Consider the following 16,247-nt stretch of genomic DNA (forward strand, 5'->3'; position numbering starts at 1 on the left):
TGAGGGGAAACAGACAGACATCCCTCAACCCCTGGCTTTCTATTCATTATTCTCTCTCAGTGCATACTATGCAGCATATGCCCTCATCCAAGGACAAGAGCCACTTCAGGTAGACAACACTCAACAGTGTACATCACAAATTCATTTCTTTTTTTTTTTTTTTTTGAGACGAAGTCTCGCTCTGTCACTCCAGCTGGAGTGCAGTGGCATGATCTCAGCTCACTGCAACCCCCGCCTCCTAGGTTCAAGCAATTCTTCTGCCTCAGCTTCCCGAGTAGCTGGGACTACAGGCATGCACCACCACACTCAGCTAATTTTTGTATTTTTAGTAGAGACAGGCTGTCACCATACTGGCCAGGCTGGTCTACATCACAAATTCAAAATCAGCAAAAGGCATGCAGGAAATGCTAAGGATACTCTGTTCAGCATAAAAGAAGATAAAGTGTAATAAAATTTTATAAATATACATACATGTATTTATGTATATGTTTACATGCATAAGAAAAAAACAGGCTGGATACAGACACTCATGCCTGTAATTCCAGCACTTTGAGAGGCTGAGGCAGGAGGATCTCTTAAGCCCAGGAGTTTGAGACCAGCCTGGGCAACACAGGGAGTCTCGTCTCTACAAAAAATTTTTTAAAAATTAGCCAGGCATGGTGGTACACATCCGTGATCTCAGCTACTCAGGAGGCTGAGGTAGGAAGACAGCTTGAGCCCAGGAAGTCGAGGTTGCACTGAGCTACAATTGCACCGTGCTCCACTATATTCCAGCCTGGGCAACAGAGTAAGACTATGTCTCAAAAAAGAAAAGGGAAGAGGAAAAGAAAGAAGGAAAGAAAAGAAAAGCCATAGAAAATATCCCAAAAAGTTAATAGGAAGTGAAGGGATTTTCTTTATATACTCATCTGTATTTTCCAAATATTGTACATTGAGTATAATCAGAAAGAAAAATGAAAAGCTTTTTCTTTTTTAAGAGAAATAATAGTAACGATAATAGCTAGTATCTACTTGAGTGCACACTCTGTCAGGAATCATGCTAAGTAGGTCTCATTCAATCCTCACCACAGTCTACGGGGTTGGGTATATGGAGAGAAGGGGATTCTGATTAAGCCCCCGTGACTCTACAAAGGGGTCTCCTGCAATGGGCACCTGAAAAAGCCTCGACTAGTAAAGGAAGAAGCTGTTTAAAGACGAAACAAGGAACCCAAATTTCTCAGGCAGTGTGAGCCTACACACGGAAAGAAGTCTCAGGCCTGAAGCACAGGCACCTTTCTATTCTCCTGACAGCCCACCCGAGGGACATCAAGAGCCACAGATGTCATGATAGGTGTGTGAGTGCTATAGAAGGAATGTTTGTGTCCCTCCAAAATTCATGTTAAAGACCTAACCTCCAAAGTAATGTTATTTGGAGGTGGGGCCTTTGGGAGACGATTAGGTCATAAGGGCAGATCCCTCGTGAATATGAGTAGTGGCCTTATAAAACAGGCCTAAGGGAGTTCATTTGCCCCTTTCACCATGTGACAGCTCGATGAGAAGACAGAGGTCTATGAACCAGGAAGTGGGCCCTCACCACTGAACCTGCTGGCACCTTGATCTTGGACTTCTAGCCTCCTATAGAGGCTGTCAGCAATAAATGTCTGTTGTTTATAAGCCACCCAGGCTACAGTATTTTTGTTATAACAGACTGAGCGAAAACAGTAAGCAAAACCAAAGAAGAGGTACTAAGAAATGGAATTCGGCATGCACTGGGGGGGTCATCTCACACAGCACCAGGAAGTGAGAAAGGCTGAGTAAGTCTCTGCCCCTAATCACTGAAAATGTGGGCACAGCCAGCCATAAAGGAATAACGTAAAATGAAGTGCAAACTCCAAGGAGGCATGGTTACCTGCTGGGGAAAGCGGAGGGATGAACTACTGGAAAAGACTTTGCTGATGAGAAAAGTGAAGAGTGCCCATACCTACGGAGACCAAGTCAGGAGGGAGCAGCCTGATGATGATGATGAAGTATCTGCCAAGGACACTATTAGGAAACCTGAAATTTATCTTCCAAATGATGCCATTCCCTTCCCAAGAAGCACCGAGGTCCCTGTAACTGCGCACAAAGGCCACACTACCCAAAGCAAGAGAAAGTACTGAACAGTTTTCTCAGGTATTATGTTCTAACGGGCTTGTCCTAGAAGGGGTTAATATGTTAGATTGTTCCATGACACCCTCTTTGTACACTGTCACTACTCTGCTTCCCTGCCCAGGGCAGGAGGAATGGCCTAGTTGGACCCAGGGCCCTGTCACTGCCCAATGCACACCAACAGTGTTGGAGCACTCTGTTCCTCATCCAAAGGACAAAAAGATAACCAGTCCAAGCACAAAGGACAAAGACAACAGTTTCTAGGCAGTAACTGACATTCTTAGTGCTACCATATTTTCCTTCTTCTCTGTTAAAGAATTCTGCTCGTGATTTTTAAAAGGAAAAGCCCAGGACTGACACAGCCTTTCAGAGATTTTTGTCAGCATCCCAGCACAAGCAAAGGCAAAGTCACCATCCCACTGTCTACAGCAACACCTGCAGGTCAAGAGCCTGAACTGCAGGTGCTATGAAAGTTGACACTGACGGCCCATGCCCAGGAAACCAACACCAAACCCTACCGTGAGGTCATCCAAGAGGCAAACCCTAACAGGCAGCTCTTGAGAAATGCCTGATTAGTGACTACGTCATAAGATGCTGCAGACTTTGCGCCCCTCTCTTCCACAGTGCTAATCATGTCTGCAGGCACTGGTCACCCAGTCTAGTATTACATAAACACTGAGGCTCAAATGGCACTTTTTCACTTTTTACAAAGTCTTTACTATGAACAATTCTTTTTTTTTTTTTTTTTTTTTTTTTAGATGGAGTCTCGCTCTGCTCTGTCGCCCAGGCTGGAGTGCAGTGGCACAATCTCAACTCACTGCAACCTCCACCTCCCGGGTTCATGCAATTCTGCTGCCTCAGCCTCCTGTGTAGCTGAGATTACAGGCACGCACCACCACACCTGGTTAATTTTTTGTATTTTTATAGAGACAGAGTTTCACCATGTTGGTGAGGCTTGTCTCAAACTCCTGACTTCAAATGATCAGCCGGCCTCGGCCTCTAACAGTGCTGAGATTACAGGCATGAGCCACCACACCCAGCCTGAACAACTATTAAAATTGTAAAGCATCCTTACAGAATATAAGCACATTCTCTGATGCTATCTTGTGCAAATAGGGAAATATCTGTGTGCAAATTCTCTCTCTTCTCTGAGGAATAAGATGGGTTATTTACTTTGGGCCGGGCGCGGTGGCTCACGCCTGTAATTCCAGCACTTTGGGAGACCGAGATGGGTGGATCACCCAAGGTCAGGAGTTTCAGACCAGTATGGCCAACATGGTGAAACCCTGTCTCTACTAAAAAAATACAAAAATTAGCCAGGCATGGTGGCAGGCACCTGCACTCCCAGCTACTTGCAAGGCTAAGGCAGGAGAATCGCTTGAACCTGGGAGGTGGAAGTTGCAGTAAGCCGAGATCATGCCATTGCACTCCAGCCTGGGCAACAAGAGCAAAACTCCGTCTAAAAAAAGAAAAAGATAGGTTCCTTTAAGCCCTGGGGTGGGGGCATTTCTGATCTTCATTTGACATGCCCTGGCAGCAACAGTAGGGCAGAAACAAGAATGAAATTCAGACCAATTGTAGGTTATTAGTCAGGGAGATGCTAAAATCAGAGTGATGGTAAAATTAGGTCAAAATAAAATTTCCCCCAAATCACCCCAAAAATACTATAAATGAAACCTGTACATTATTATGTATAAATAACAATGTATGCTGCAACAGCTTTAGGGCAGAACACAGGCACAAGGTTGCCAGGATCTGGGAGTCTGGCACCAATGGAAATGTCATTGTATTAGTCCATTCTCATGCTGCTATAAGGACATACCCAAGATGGGGTAATTTATAAAGAAAAGAGGTTTAATTGACTCGCAGTTCAGCATGGCTGGGGAGGCCTCAGAAAACTTACAATCATGACAGAAGGGGAAGTAAACACATCCTTCTTCACATACCAGCAGGAAGACGTGCCAAGCAAAGCGGGAAAAGTCCCTTATAAAACCGTCTATGAGAACTCACTATCACGAGAACCACATGGATATAACTGCCCCCATGATTCACTGCCTCCCACCGGGTCCCTCCCATGACATGTGAGGATTATGGGAACTGCAATTCAAGATGAGATTTGGGTGGGGACACAGCCAAACCATACTGGTCATCTATCTTGACTGTGGTGGTTACAAGACTACATTTGTCCAAAGTCATAAACTGTATTCTAAAAGGAATGAATTGTATTGTTACATAAATTATACTTTACTAAAACACAAAACAATTGTCTGTATACAGTAATGAACACCTTACAACAAAAATGCATATATAGAGGCAGGAGGAGTACTTGAGCCCAGAAGTTCGAGTTCAGCCTGAAAAACACAGCAAGATCCTGTCTCTAAAAAAATAAAATTCAAAATACATATATACAAAATATAAATACATTATTTTTAATCTTGTTTCTTTCTTTCCCAGCACTTACACTGAATTTATTTAAATTAAATAAGCATGTGATGTGACTTTACTGTAGTATACAAAAAGGGAGTTTTTGCCTAATACTGGTTAGAACCGAAAAACATGTCAAGTAAGAGTCATCAGATATCAGCAATCTAAGACTTAGATTCTCAGATTTTAGACAGAGTGCTCACAAAAGATGGTGCTTCTGTGTGGTCTTCTACAGAATAACTACCTTAAATTACTCAATTAAAAGAACTGCAGATCTATAATTTATAGGATAAACCATCCTGAACACTGGTGGGAGGACTTGGGGTGCAGCTAAAGGTAGAACAAGGAAAAGGATGGTCTTTCACATTCTATTTTCAAATCTGCTAAAACACTACATTTCAGGTATAACTAGAGATCGGTGCCACAACTTCCTGTTTTGTTCAAGGAAAACAAGTAACTGAAGCTGAGAATGTTCCAGTCCTTGGAAAGGTTTGATTAGGATTCTTGCGGTACCAGTCTATTCTGAACAAAGAGCTACCAAGTAGAAAGGTTAGCTTTCCTGAAACATATCCAAGTCTTCACTCTATACTTATTTTTAAGGTAGAACTCACAAAACTAACTCTAATTCTAACCCAGAACAAAATTCACTGGTTCAAGAATTTTAAAATAGGGTCTCTACAAAACAACAAAGTAGCTATTCTAGTCTATTACTCAGAAATCAAAACCAATACCCTCCTTTCATTTTTTAGAGATCATAAAAGGAATACAAAAAAATTAATAAAACAAAATAAATGGTCATTACAGAAAAATTAGAAAATATAGTAAGGGACAAAGATAAAAATGAAGAACACTCACAATTCCACCACTCTGTGATTACTACTACTATTTTCTTCCAGCTTTTTTTCTACATACATAATTTTTAAAGTTTTCAAATTTGATATTAGACTATATAGTTTGAATTCTCCCCTTCTCACTTAACATTATATCATGAAAATATCTGTATAAGTCAAGGTTCCACCAAAGAAACAGAAGCAGCAGATATAGTCAGCCCTCGCTATCCATGGGTTCCATAGCCCAAATCAAAATATTCCCAAAAAATATTTACCAAAATATTTGCTGAGGATCAAAAATATTCCCAAAAAATGGCCAGGCATGGTGCCTCACACCTATAATCCCAGCACTTTACGAGGCTGAGGCGAGTGGATCACTTGAGCTCACCAGTTCGACACCAGCCTGGGCAACATGGTAAGACCCTATCTCTACAAAAAATACAAAAATCAGCTGGGCAAGGTGGTGCACGCCTGTAGTCCCAGCTACTTGGGAGGCTGAGGTGGGAGGCTCGCTTGAGCTCAGAAGGCAGAGGCTGCAGTGAGCCAAGATCATGTCACTGCATTCCAGTATGGGCAACAGAGCAAGACCCAGTATCAAAAAAAAAAAAAAAAAAAAAAAAAATCCAAAAATTTGAAAAAAAAAAAAAATGGATTGTTTTGTCTGTGCTGAACATGTACAAACTTCTTGTCATTATTCCCCAAATAATACAGTGTAACAACTATTTACATAGCATTTACATTGTATTAGGGATTGTAAGTAATCTAGACATAATTTAAAGTCTATGGGAGAATGTGCATAGGTTATACACAAATATTATACTGTTTTATATAAGAGACCTAGACATCCATGAATTTTGGTATCCACGAGGGACCAGGAACCAATCCCCTGCAGATACCAAGGGATAAGTGTATTTATTAAGAGAGTTACTGCAAGAAATTGGCTTACATGATTGTGGGGGCTGGCTAGGCCAGTCTGAAATCCACATAGCAGGCCAATGTGGAACTCTCCAGAAACTGAGTGCAGCTGCTGTCCATCGGAGAAATTTCTTCTACTTCAGGGGAGCTCTGCTGCGCTCTTCAGGCTTTCAGCTGATAGATCAGGCCCACTCAGATCACCTAGGACAATCACCCTTACTTAAAGTCAACCAATTATTAACTTGCATCACATCCACAAAATACCTTGACAGCCATGCCAAGATGAGTGTTTGACTGAATAACCAGGACTGTAACTTAGCCAAACTGACAAATGAAACTGACCATCACAATAACCATGTCAGTAGTCTTTAAAAGCATTTTATAAATGTATTTCTCCATTCCCTTACTACAGAAATTCAGCATTCTTCCAAAATTTTGCTAATATAAGTAATGTTGGAATAAATAGAACTGAAGTGAACAATGCTATAGACTGAATGTTTGTGTCCCAAAATTCCTACGGTAAATCTTAATCCCAAGATATTGGGATGAGTACTTTGGGAGGTGATCAGGGCTCTGCCTTCATGACTGGAATTAGTGCCCTCATAAAAGATTTGAGAGAGTTCTCTCACCTCTTCCACCATTTGAGGACACAGCAAGGTAACTACGAATCAGAATGTGGGCCCTCACCAGACACTGAATCTGCCAGTACCTTGACCTTAGACTTCCAGTATCCAGAACTGTGAGCAATAAATTTATGTAGTCTATAAGCCACCCAGGCTATATTATTTTGTTATAGCAGCCTAAGTGGACTATGACAAACAACTTTGTATATTAAATCTTCATTCTTACATCTGATTATTTTACAGAAAGACTACTAGTAAGGAGGCTGCGCATAGAAAGAACTCCAAAAAACCTCATAGGATCCCCTTGAGTCTTTGGCTGAATACAAAACTGCACATGTGTAAAGTGCAACTCCATGAGACAAGTAGGAAACCTGGGTAACTGACATGGACAATCCCTAGAGCTGGGAGACGTTCAAGCCTCAACCAGTCAGAATGGAAAGACCTCACTAACAGCTGGAGCACTCAGAAGCCCCAAAAAGGCATGTCTTAGAAGACTAAGCTAGCTTTAAAATAAAAGTACCCTAGATACAGCTTAACAAAGCTGAAAAACAAGGCCAGACACATTGGTGCACACCTATAATCCCAGCACTTTGGTAAGCAAAGGTGGGAAGATCATTTGGGACCAGGAGTTCGAGATTAGCCTGGGTAACATATTAAGACTCCATCTCTACAATCAATTGATCAATCAATACAAATAAAAAACAAGCTTCAAAAAGATCATTCTGATCAGCAAATAAATTAATTGCCTGCAAGAACAAAACTCAACACTCAACAGAAGAAATCAAAACCCAGAGACTCGACAGCATAACATCCATTAATGTCTAGCATCCAATAAAAAATTATCAGACATTTGAAAGAAAAAGAAAATGTAACCCAAAATCAGGAGAAAACTCAATCCCTAGAAACAAACCAAGAAATCACAGAGATAATGGAATTAGCAGATAAAGACTTTAAACTATTGTAAGTATATTGAAGGATTTAAAGGAAAACCAAGGTAGAAATTGAAGCCATAAAAAACAATCAAGGGGAACCTGCAGGGCTAAAAAATAAACTATCTGAAATTAAGAAGTTACTAGATGAGTTTAACTACAGATTAGACACCAAAGGAGAAAAGACAGTAAAGTTGAAGACAGGTCAACAGAAAATATTCCAAAGGAAGGACAAAGAGAAAACAGACCTCCTAAGTGTGTGTGTGTGTGTGTGTATGTGTGTGTGTGCTCAAAAGTCTCCCAATAGTATAAACACAAGGACTATCATGCATGAGTAAATCTTAATCAAATTGCTCAAACTAATGATAATAACTTCAAGGAACTGATATAACAAGAGAATGGGGATATTTCACACACAGGGGAACAAAGAATGTCTACTCACTTCTCATCAGAGACAGTGCAAGCTAGAAGACAATGGAATGATAGTCTTTAAAATGTTTGAAGAAAAACAAAAACAAAAAAAAAGTGTCAACCTGCAATTCTATATCCAGCAAAAATATCCTCAGAAATGGAAGATGAAATAAAGGCATTTTCAGACAAAAAAGCTGAAAGAATTCACTATCAGCAGATCTGCACTATAAAAAATATTTTAAAAAGATCTGCAAGGAAATATCAGATGTCTGCCTTCCACCCTATACTCCCCACTTCCAATCTCTAAATCCTTATTTCACCCCTTCTCATCCAGAGCTCCATATTCAAGAGCTGCTCCCCTTCTCCATCAGCTTGGTTCTGCCATCAAACAATTGTTTTCTTCGAACTCCATTAGTTAGCCTGGACTTTAAGACTCTGCAATCTTGCCCCTCCTGTCTTTACAAAACTTATTTTCTCTTACTCCATATTTTATAAGCCATTCCAAGTTGTTCACTTTGCTTCATTAACTAGAAAAAAAAACAAAAACTCCCCCACAGCCTAGGCAATACAGCAAGAAAATATTTTTAAAATTTAGCCAGGTATAGTGGCAGACATCTCTACAAAAAATTACAAAATTAACCAGATGTGGTGGTGCATGCCTATGGTCCCAGCTACTCAGGAGGCTGAGGCGAGAGGATTGCTGGAGCCCAAGAGTTCAATTCATATATTGCGCTATGATCACACCACTGCACTCCAGCCTGGCCAACAGAGTAAGATCCGGTCTCTATTAAAAAGTGTGCACGCACACACACAATCTCCCCCAAAACACGTCAGAAAGAGAGTAAAGGAGTGAGAAAAACAGAAGAGAACTCAAGGTGGCAGGGATTTGGGGGCACACAGGTGACCCATCCTATCAAGGAGGGAAGAGAGTGAATTTTCCAAAAAAACAAAGCAGGCCAGGAGGCTCGTGGCTGTCTTGCAGACACTACTACAACTCCCACACAAGAAGGGATCAGCTCCTCTCACTCAGACTGTAAGGAAGGACTGTATAACTAAGTTTAGAGCACCCACAAAACATAACTCCTAAAAAGTGAGTACAAGTACATAAAGCAAGAGGCTTGATTCAGGGAAACCTCATGTCATATTCAAGCTCTACTGCTCATTAGCTGCTTGACTATCGGCTCATTTAAAATTCACAACAGCTCTATGAGACAGGTACTATTATTATCACCTACATTTTATAGAGAAGAAAACTGAGACACAGAAAGGTTATACTGCTTGTTCAAGGTAATACATTCAGGAAGCGGCATAGCGAGGATGTGAATCCAGTCACCTAAAACAGACTGTCATTTCAGGTGTCCATTATACCTCAGGCATCATGAGCAAATCCTAGCAGTGCTCCTGCAGAGAGAAAAACACAAACAATCGAGCTGCTGAGGCTAAGCCTCTAAACACAGATAAAGTTAGGTCTTTGTGAGAGGAGTCAAGTGCTCTAATTTTGGCTCTGGATCTCAAATGGTTGTATGACTACTGACCTTACCAAATGAGGGAACTGACCTTAAGCCAACTGACCTCCCATCCTACATAACTGAAAGACTGTAATGCAGCAGTTTACAAACATGAAGAGCTAAATAAATACTGAGATCAAGAATTAATGTGTTACAAAGTAAGAATAAATTATGGAGAAACCCAAACACCAGATGTTACGCAAGAAAGAAGGAAGCTGCAAAGTAGAAATTCCCACCTGGGAAGAATTGGTGGTTCCCTAGGGACTTCAGCAGCACCAGCAACTGCTCCTGGAGCTTCTGCCTCCTGTGAACCATGGGCCATTTCCTTCACAGGGCCTGGAGGCTGCACTTTCTCTACTTCCTGATGCCCATCCAATTCTGTGGTGGAGTCAATCTCTATTTCCTGGACTGGAACTGGGACTGGCTCCTTCTCAGCTGCAGCAGCTGACACAGTCTTGGCCTCTTCCTCTTCCTTTCTTCTGATTTTCTCTTCAAGTTCCTGCCTTCTCTTCTCATCATCCTGACGGGCCATGTGGTCAAAGGTTTTGAATACCTAAAATCAAACACCAATCCAGCAATCAGTTCATCTGCCCAATACTGTACCACATATCTTGTAGAAATGTCGTAAAATCTGTGAAGGAGAGAACTAAAAGTCAGAAACTGACAAGTTTTCCCACTGGCAAAATGGAAATGCACTGCCACTTCACCAAAAGCTGACAGGTAAACAGTGTTTAACAGGAGGATTCCAAAATCAACAAAATCAGAAACTTATAAGCCAAGGCTAACAATATTTACATACCTAAAAGATGTACAGTTAGATGGTCTTTGTTGTCATTATTTTACAGACCCCAGTCTTGTTCACAATGCAAAGAATACACGGTCCTGGTACAACTGTGGGTTATAAAGGCACCAAAATTCAGACTCACAAATGAAACATGAAAATATGGCTGAACTTCAATTCCCAAAATGGAACCAGGTTTACAGGACTGCTGCTGTTTTTCACCACACTGCATGGACATTCAATTCAACAAACATCTACTATGCGCCTACAGTGTGCAAGAAACACGCACGCACAAAAAACATCAAAATGATTTCTGCTGCCTCCTAAGAACTCAAAATTCTGGTGTGTAAACAAGTTCTTAACATTTTCTGGGAAACAGTCACACCCATGAAGGTGCTGGGACCTCTCTACCAAAAAAGTACAGTCAAGACATACCCACACATGAAAACTCTGATACAAGAGGGGGCATGACAAGGCCCTCAATTCCCTGTCAGGGTATGGGTGGGAATGAGCATGTCTGGCGAAAGAAATCTAGGGAGACTTCTTGGAACAAGGAGGATCCCAGTTAGACCCTGAATGAGAGGCACATCTTCCACAGGGAACCACTGGAGGAAATGCCACAGCTCTAAGAATAGGCTTGTCAAGGAAGGGCAAAAGCTCTTGCAATAACTGGAGGAAGGAAAGGCTGAGACAGCAACCTGGGACATGGGTGGGAGTCAGATTCCAAAGGGCTAGAATGCGGACAGGTATTAAATAACAATGTTCTGTGCACTGCGCGGGCAGTCAAAAGGGTGCTAACAGACTAACTGTGTCAAATTATTTTACAAACATTCTCTCAAAACCCTCACAAAAATACTGTGAAGAAGACAGCATCAACATTTCAAAAATGAGAAAAAAATAAGGCTTGGAAAGGTTACGTAACTTGCCCCAGCTCCTGCTGGCAAAAGAAGTAAAAAACTACGCAGCACACACCAAACAGTGTGGGGAGATGATGATGTAGGCAGAGGGGAAAAAAAAAAATCAATAAAATCCTAAAAGGTTAAAAACTGGAAACAACACCAGAACCATTTTTACTTCTGCAGATAACCTGAAGCCCTGACTTCATTCTAACATTAGGGTCTCTACCGCTTTGAGTCCATGCTTTCAGAGTTGCTCATCCTGCTGATACTCCAGATCTTCATCTTAACTCCACAAAAGCAAAGCAACAAGATCTCTCTCTCCTAACACCTGAGACTTCGAACACAGAACCCCCAGACTTGATAGTCCTCACCATGCAGCTGCCTCTGCTCACTCAGTACATCCAGCCTTCTCTGACCTACCCATTCACACCACCAGGAAGTGCTACCACTGCCAACCTCCCAACTATCACATGTTCTCAGTACTCATTCTAGAGTCACAGAACATAGGGCTGGAAGAGAACTCTAATCTGTAACCTCCAATCAATCTTCTCAGCTGACAAGAGGTGAAGTGACTCTCCCAAGATTTCTCAACAATTTATGTAAGGAACAGGATGTAGCTAGCTTTCCTGATTCTAGTTTCAAGGACTTCTACAAAGGAGCACTTCTCAAAGTGGACTCCAAAAAAAACAGCATTATCGATTATAATGAATGGCTTGTCAGTCTAAACGATTTTTGTCTTAAAACATACTAATGTATTATAAAATGGAATGCAATTTTCACATACATCATTCCTGCTGAGGTTCTTCAAGCTGTGTATCCAGGCTATGCAAACTTTTAAAAGGAAACGTATGAGCTGCCTAACTCTACACCAACACTGTACTCCCCAAAATATTAAGGGAACGCTTTGAAGTTCCACAATGATGCAGCCCAGCACTCCCATCCAAATTCTTCTCTGCCTATATTCAGCAGAGACACCAAGCATCCCACATCTGGTGGGGGTGGAGAGGCAGACCCCAGGAAGGAGTCTTATGCCATCAAGTTAGGGACAGAAAAAAAAAAAAACCCTAAGAGGCAGATGAGTAGGAGTGGGGAGGTCAGGAGATCACCTACTACCACGAAGAAATAATGTTATGCTGGTACCAAGTCACTCAGTCTCATTCAGTGTTGTCCCACCCCACAATAAAACCCTTGTCAATACTGAAATCACCTTTACAAACCTCCTGTCAAATGAGCTTTTGTGGATAAAAGAACAGGTTCCAGCCAGGTGCAGTAGCTCATGTCTGTAATCCCAGCACTTTGGGAGGCTGAGGCGGGTGATCACCTGAGGTCAGGAGTTCAAGACCAGCCTGGCCAACACGGTGAAACCCCATTTCTACTACTAAAAATACAAAAATTCTCTAGGCATGGTGGTACATGCCTGTAAACCCAGCTACTCGGGAGGCTGAGGCAGGAGAATCACTTGAACCTGGGAGGAGGAGGTGCAGTGAGCCAAGATTGCGCCACTGCACTCCAGCCTGGACAACAGAATGAGACTCCATCTCAAAAATAAAAAATAAAAAAATAAAAAAAAGAACAGGTTCCCAGGATTCACCCTGATCTACCCAACCAAAATATCCAGGAATATGTGCTTTTAAAAGTTCCTTGGCCAGGCGCAGTGGCTCACACCTGTAATCCTAGCACTTTAGGAGGCCGAGGCAGGCAGAACACAAGGTCAGGAGTTTGAGACCAGTCTCGCCAACATGATGAAACCCCATCTCTACTAAAAATACAAAAATCAGCCGGGCGTGGTGGCGCACACCTGCAGTCCCAGCTACTCGAGAGGCTGAGGCAGGAGAATTGCTTGAACCCAGGAGGCGGAGGTTGCAGTGAGCTGAGATCATGCCACTGCACTCCAGCCTGGGCGACAGAGTGAGACTCCATCTCCAGGAAAAAAAAAAAAAAAAAAAGAAAGAAAAAAGTTCCTTAAGCGATGCTGATGGTTGAGAACCACTTCCAGAAAACATGACACCTCTCTTAAGCATCTGCTGGAGACTGTTGTCCCCTTGGTTTCTGTGAAACTTATTGCTCTCCACCAAGATTATTCCCCAAGGCCTGTTCTTCACCTTTGGCTCTTCTCTCTCCCTCGGACCACTCCAGTTGCTCTAGCTCCCAAAAGATCTAGTCCAGTAATTCCAATAGCCTATGGGCAGGGACTCCTACCTGCAACTTCAAGTTCAACCTGTCTAAAACTGAACTTTTTCCCCTAAACCCAGGTGACAGTTCAGTTAACGCATTATCACTATTCCAGTCACCCAAGTTGAAACCTTGGATCATCTTTGACCCATCCCTCCCCTTCCTCCATCCCTGCTCCCCATCTCCACTACTTCATTAGACTGGTCACCAAATCCTAACCTATGGAAGTGTCTTGTAAGAGGTGTTACCAGGTAAATGAGTTACCAGGTTAATGAGTGCTCTGTCAGTTCATCTGTGAAACAAAGACCAACCTCTCAGGTTATATTAAGGGTTAAATAAGATAACGACCCCAGAATATAAAACATCTGATACTATACATATTACTCAGTATATACTCCTTTCTCCTCCACATCTTTCTGCAAACTACAATCAATCTAGACAAAAGTGTTCTCATCCTACTATGGAATGGTTAAACAACAGAACAGGAAGATTTGGAATCCACAAAATGAAATTTTTAGTTTCAGCTCTACGGTGAACTGGCTGTGTGTTCTTGGTCAAATCACTTAACCTTGCTGAATTGGTACGTAAACTTGAAACTTATCTGTTTCACAGAGACACTGAAGATCAAATGGCAAGACTTCATTAACCTGCCATAAGATCCTGCTAAAGGCCACCTCCAACAGCTCTCTCATCACTAAGATGGCACTTATGCCACTGACAAGGACGAGGAATAGCCTTAAGTTCTGAAATTGAATCCTAATGGAACCCCATTCCTCGTTTGGCCCTATTACCCTGGTAGCTACCAAGACATTCAAAGCTTTGGCTTCTGCTGAGGAAAGTAACATCTTACCAACCTGCAGCATGCATTAAGACTTCAGGAGGAAACATCTGAAGCATTTTATAAACTGTAACATCTAGAGAACTGAGGGAGGTATCATCAGCATTTCTATCTTCTTGGGTTTCTACAAATAGGCTTAATACTTGGCTGAATAGTTTCTTTTAATCTCATCAGAAGTCCCACCTCTCTTATAAAAACTTCACTTCTCAACCATCATTTCTATTTCCTTTCTTTACAATGGGCTCCATCAAATAATTGCCCTTAAAAAGTTTTCTATTACTTTCTGGGTTTTCTCTCTTTAACTGTGTCACAAGGAGAGAGAAACCATTACTTAAACACCCGTATCACCCTCACCTGCGGCAACTAAGAGTGTAAACTACATTCAGCAAAAGGTTGCTTACCACTACATTCAAAAGTGCCCAGTCAACTTCACTGAATGAGTATTGACAGCGTTTCCAACATACAATAAACTTAACCTGGAGGGTACGGAATTAAGCTCAAATAGAAATTTTAATAAGCACTACATTGACAGTCTTTGACCTGGGAAGTCACATTTCAAACAAGCGACCACACCCATTGATCAACACAATGCCTCCGTCATCCCCGCCAGCTCAAGTCTTTGGTAGTTCTGGGGCATGCACGTTTCTGTTGCTGTAAATGTCCTTCCTTCTGTCTGGCCTGCATGGATTTCGCTCCCTGACTAGCGGCCCCCAGCACCGTGAGGGGTACGCGCTGGCGGGTGCTGAGTAGGGCTCTTAACAGTCGGCTTACTACTTCTGAAACCTCAGGACGTCCGGAGCGAACACCTCAGCGGAATAAGCTGACATCCAATCCGCGCTTCAAATTACTGAAGCCATTCTCACAAGCTCAACCCCAGGACACCAGGAAAAGGAGGAAACAGGCTGGGAGAGCTTGGAGGAGCGGGCGCCAGGAGTCAGGGCAGGCCGGGGGCGGCGGCTCCCCAGACCGCAGGCCCGCCCGCCTCACCTGCAGCACCAAGGCCTGCGCGGCCCCGGGCGGGAAGCCCATGCGGTCCGATGGGTGGCGCAGCAAGCGATAGAAGTCTGTCTTGCGGTAGAGGAAGCCAAAGAGAACGCGCAGGAAATCCTGGACGTTGCCCACGTGCTGCAGGATGCCCAAAAGGGCCTGGTCATACAGCTCGGCCGCCCCTGTCTCCATGTCGCCTCCCGCCCTAGGTACGCTTCACACACACAGCGCCGCCTCAGACCTGCCGACTGGCCACTTCCGGCGTCCGCAGCCAACGGCTCCGCCGGACGGCGCGGCTGCGGAACTTCCGGTCCGTGCTCGTTCGGCCCCCGCGGCCCCGGGCTGTTTTCCCCAGACCCAGCTGCCCCACGGGCTTTGCCTTGAGGTGGTCTTAGACAAAAGAGCCCGACAAGGGCAGCAAGGAGGTTCCTACGCGGAAGGAAGCCCGTGGCTTCTGCTGCGCTGCGAGGGCTTGACCGCCATGTTTGAAGCGGGCGGAAAAAAATTATGGGGCGTGCAGTGTCACGTGACTGCTCGGATTTTTGTCACGTTGTCTGTGGATCCTTTCTTATTTCTGTGTTGAATTCCAGCCTGGGTATTTGGAACCTATGGTTAAAGATGGGGCTAGGGTAAGCTTTTTGTTAGTGAGCCAGAGACGGGAAAATGCGTATATGTGGGATGTATGGGTTTCTTATTAACAGATCTGTGAGTTAAACTCAGGGCGTTGCATCAGAAGAAAGTCAAGATGACGAAGAAAATAAAGAGTGCATTCAACGTATATTAAGTGGAAAGAGCTAGATTCA

The 16,247-nt window shown here is 43.0% G+C and overlaps 1 protein-coding gene across 4 annotated transcripts in view, besides 2 other annotated features; it reads right to left on the reverse strand.

Annotated features, from left to right (window-relative positions):
• Positions 1 to 15,694, reverse strand: part of NUDCD3 (NudC domain containing 3) — a 111,540-nt gene extending 95,846 nt beyond the window's left edge. For all 4 annotated transcript variants that reach the window (XR_007059994.1, NM_015332.4, XM_011515247.3 and 1 more), the window contains exons 1-2: positions 15,445 to 15,694; positions 10,004 to 10,320 (exon numbers count right to left, since the gene is read on the reverse strand). Coding sequence is in view for 3 of the 4 variants with exons in the window: in NM_015332.4 (NP_056147.2) it covers positions 10,004 to 10,320; positions 15,445 to 15,636 (509 nt within the window). In the remaining variant the exon portion in view is untranslated. The remainder of the gene's footprint in view (positions 1 to 10,003; positions 10,321 to 15,444) is intronic.
• Positions 2,386 to 2,680: a silencer, noted in NCBI's record as "tiled region #3634; HepG2 Repressive DNase matched - State 12:CtcfO, and K562 Repressive non-DNase unmatched - State 25:Art". NCBI's record gives its function as "represses a minimal TATA promoter and a strong SV40 promoter by Sharpr-MPRA in HepG2 cells, with weaker repression in K562 cells {active_cell/tissue: HepG2 | K562}" and the evidence as "EXISTENCE:reporter gene assay evidence [ECO:0000049][PMID:27701403]".
• Positions 15,276 to 15,445: a silencer, noted in NCBI's record as "silent region_18144". NCBI's record gives its function as "represses an Ori minimal core promoter by ATAC-STARR-seq in GM12878 lymphoblastoid cells {active_cell/tissue: GM12878}" and the evidence as "EXISTENCE:reporter gene assay evidence [ECO:0000049][PMID:35858748]".
• Positions 15,695 to 16,247: the final 553 nt, after the last annotated feature.

Source organism: Homo sapiens, chromosome 7 (genome assembly GCF_000001405.40).
Source record: "Homo sapiens chromosome 7, GRCh38.p14 Primary Assembly".
Taxonomy (NCBI): Eukaryota; Metazoa; Chordata; class Mammalia; order Primates; family Hominidae; genus Homo; species Homo sapiens.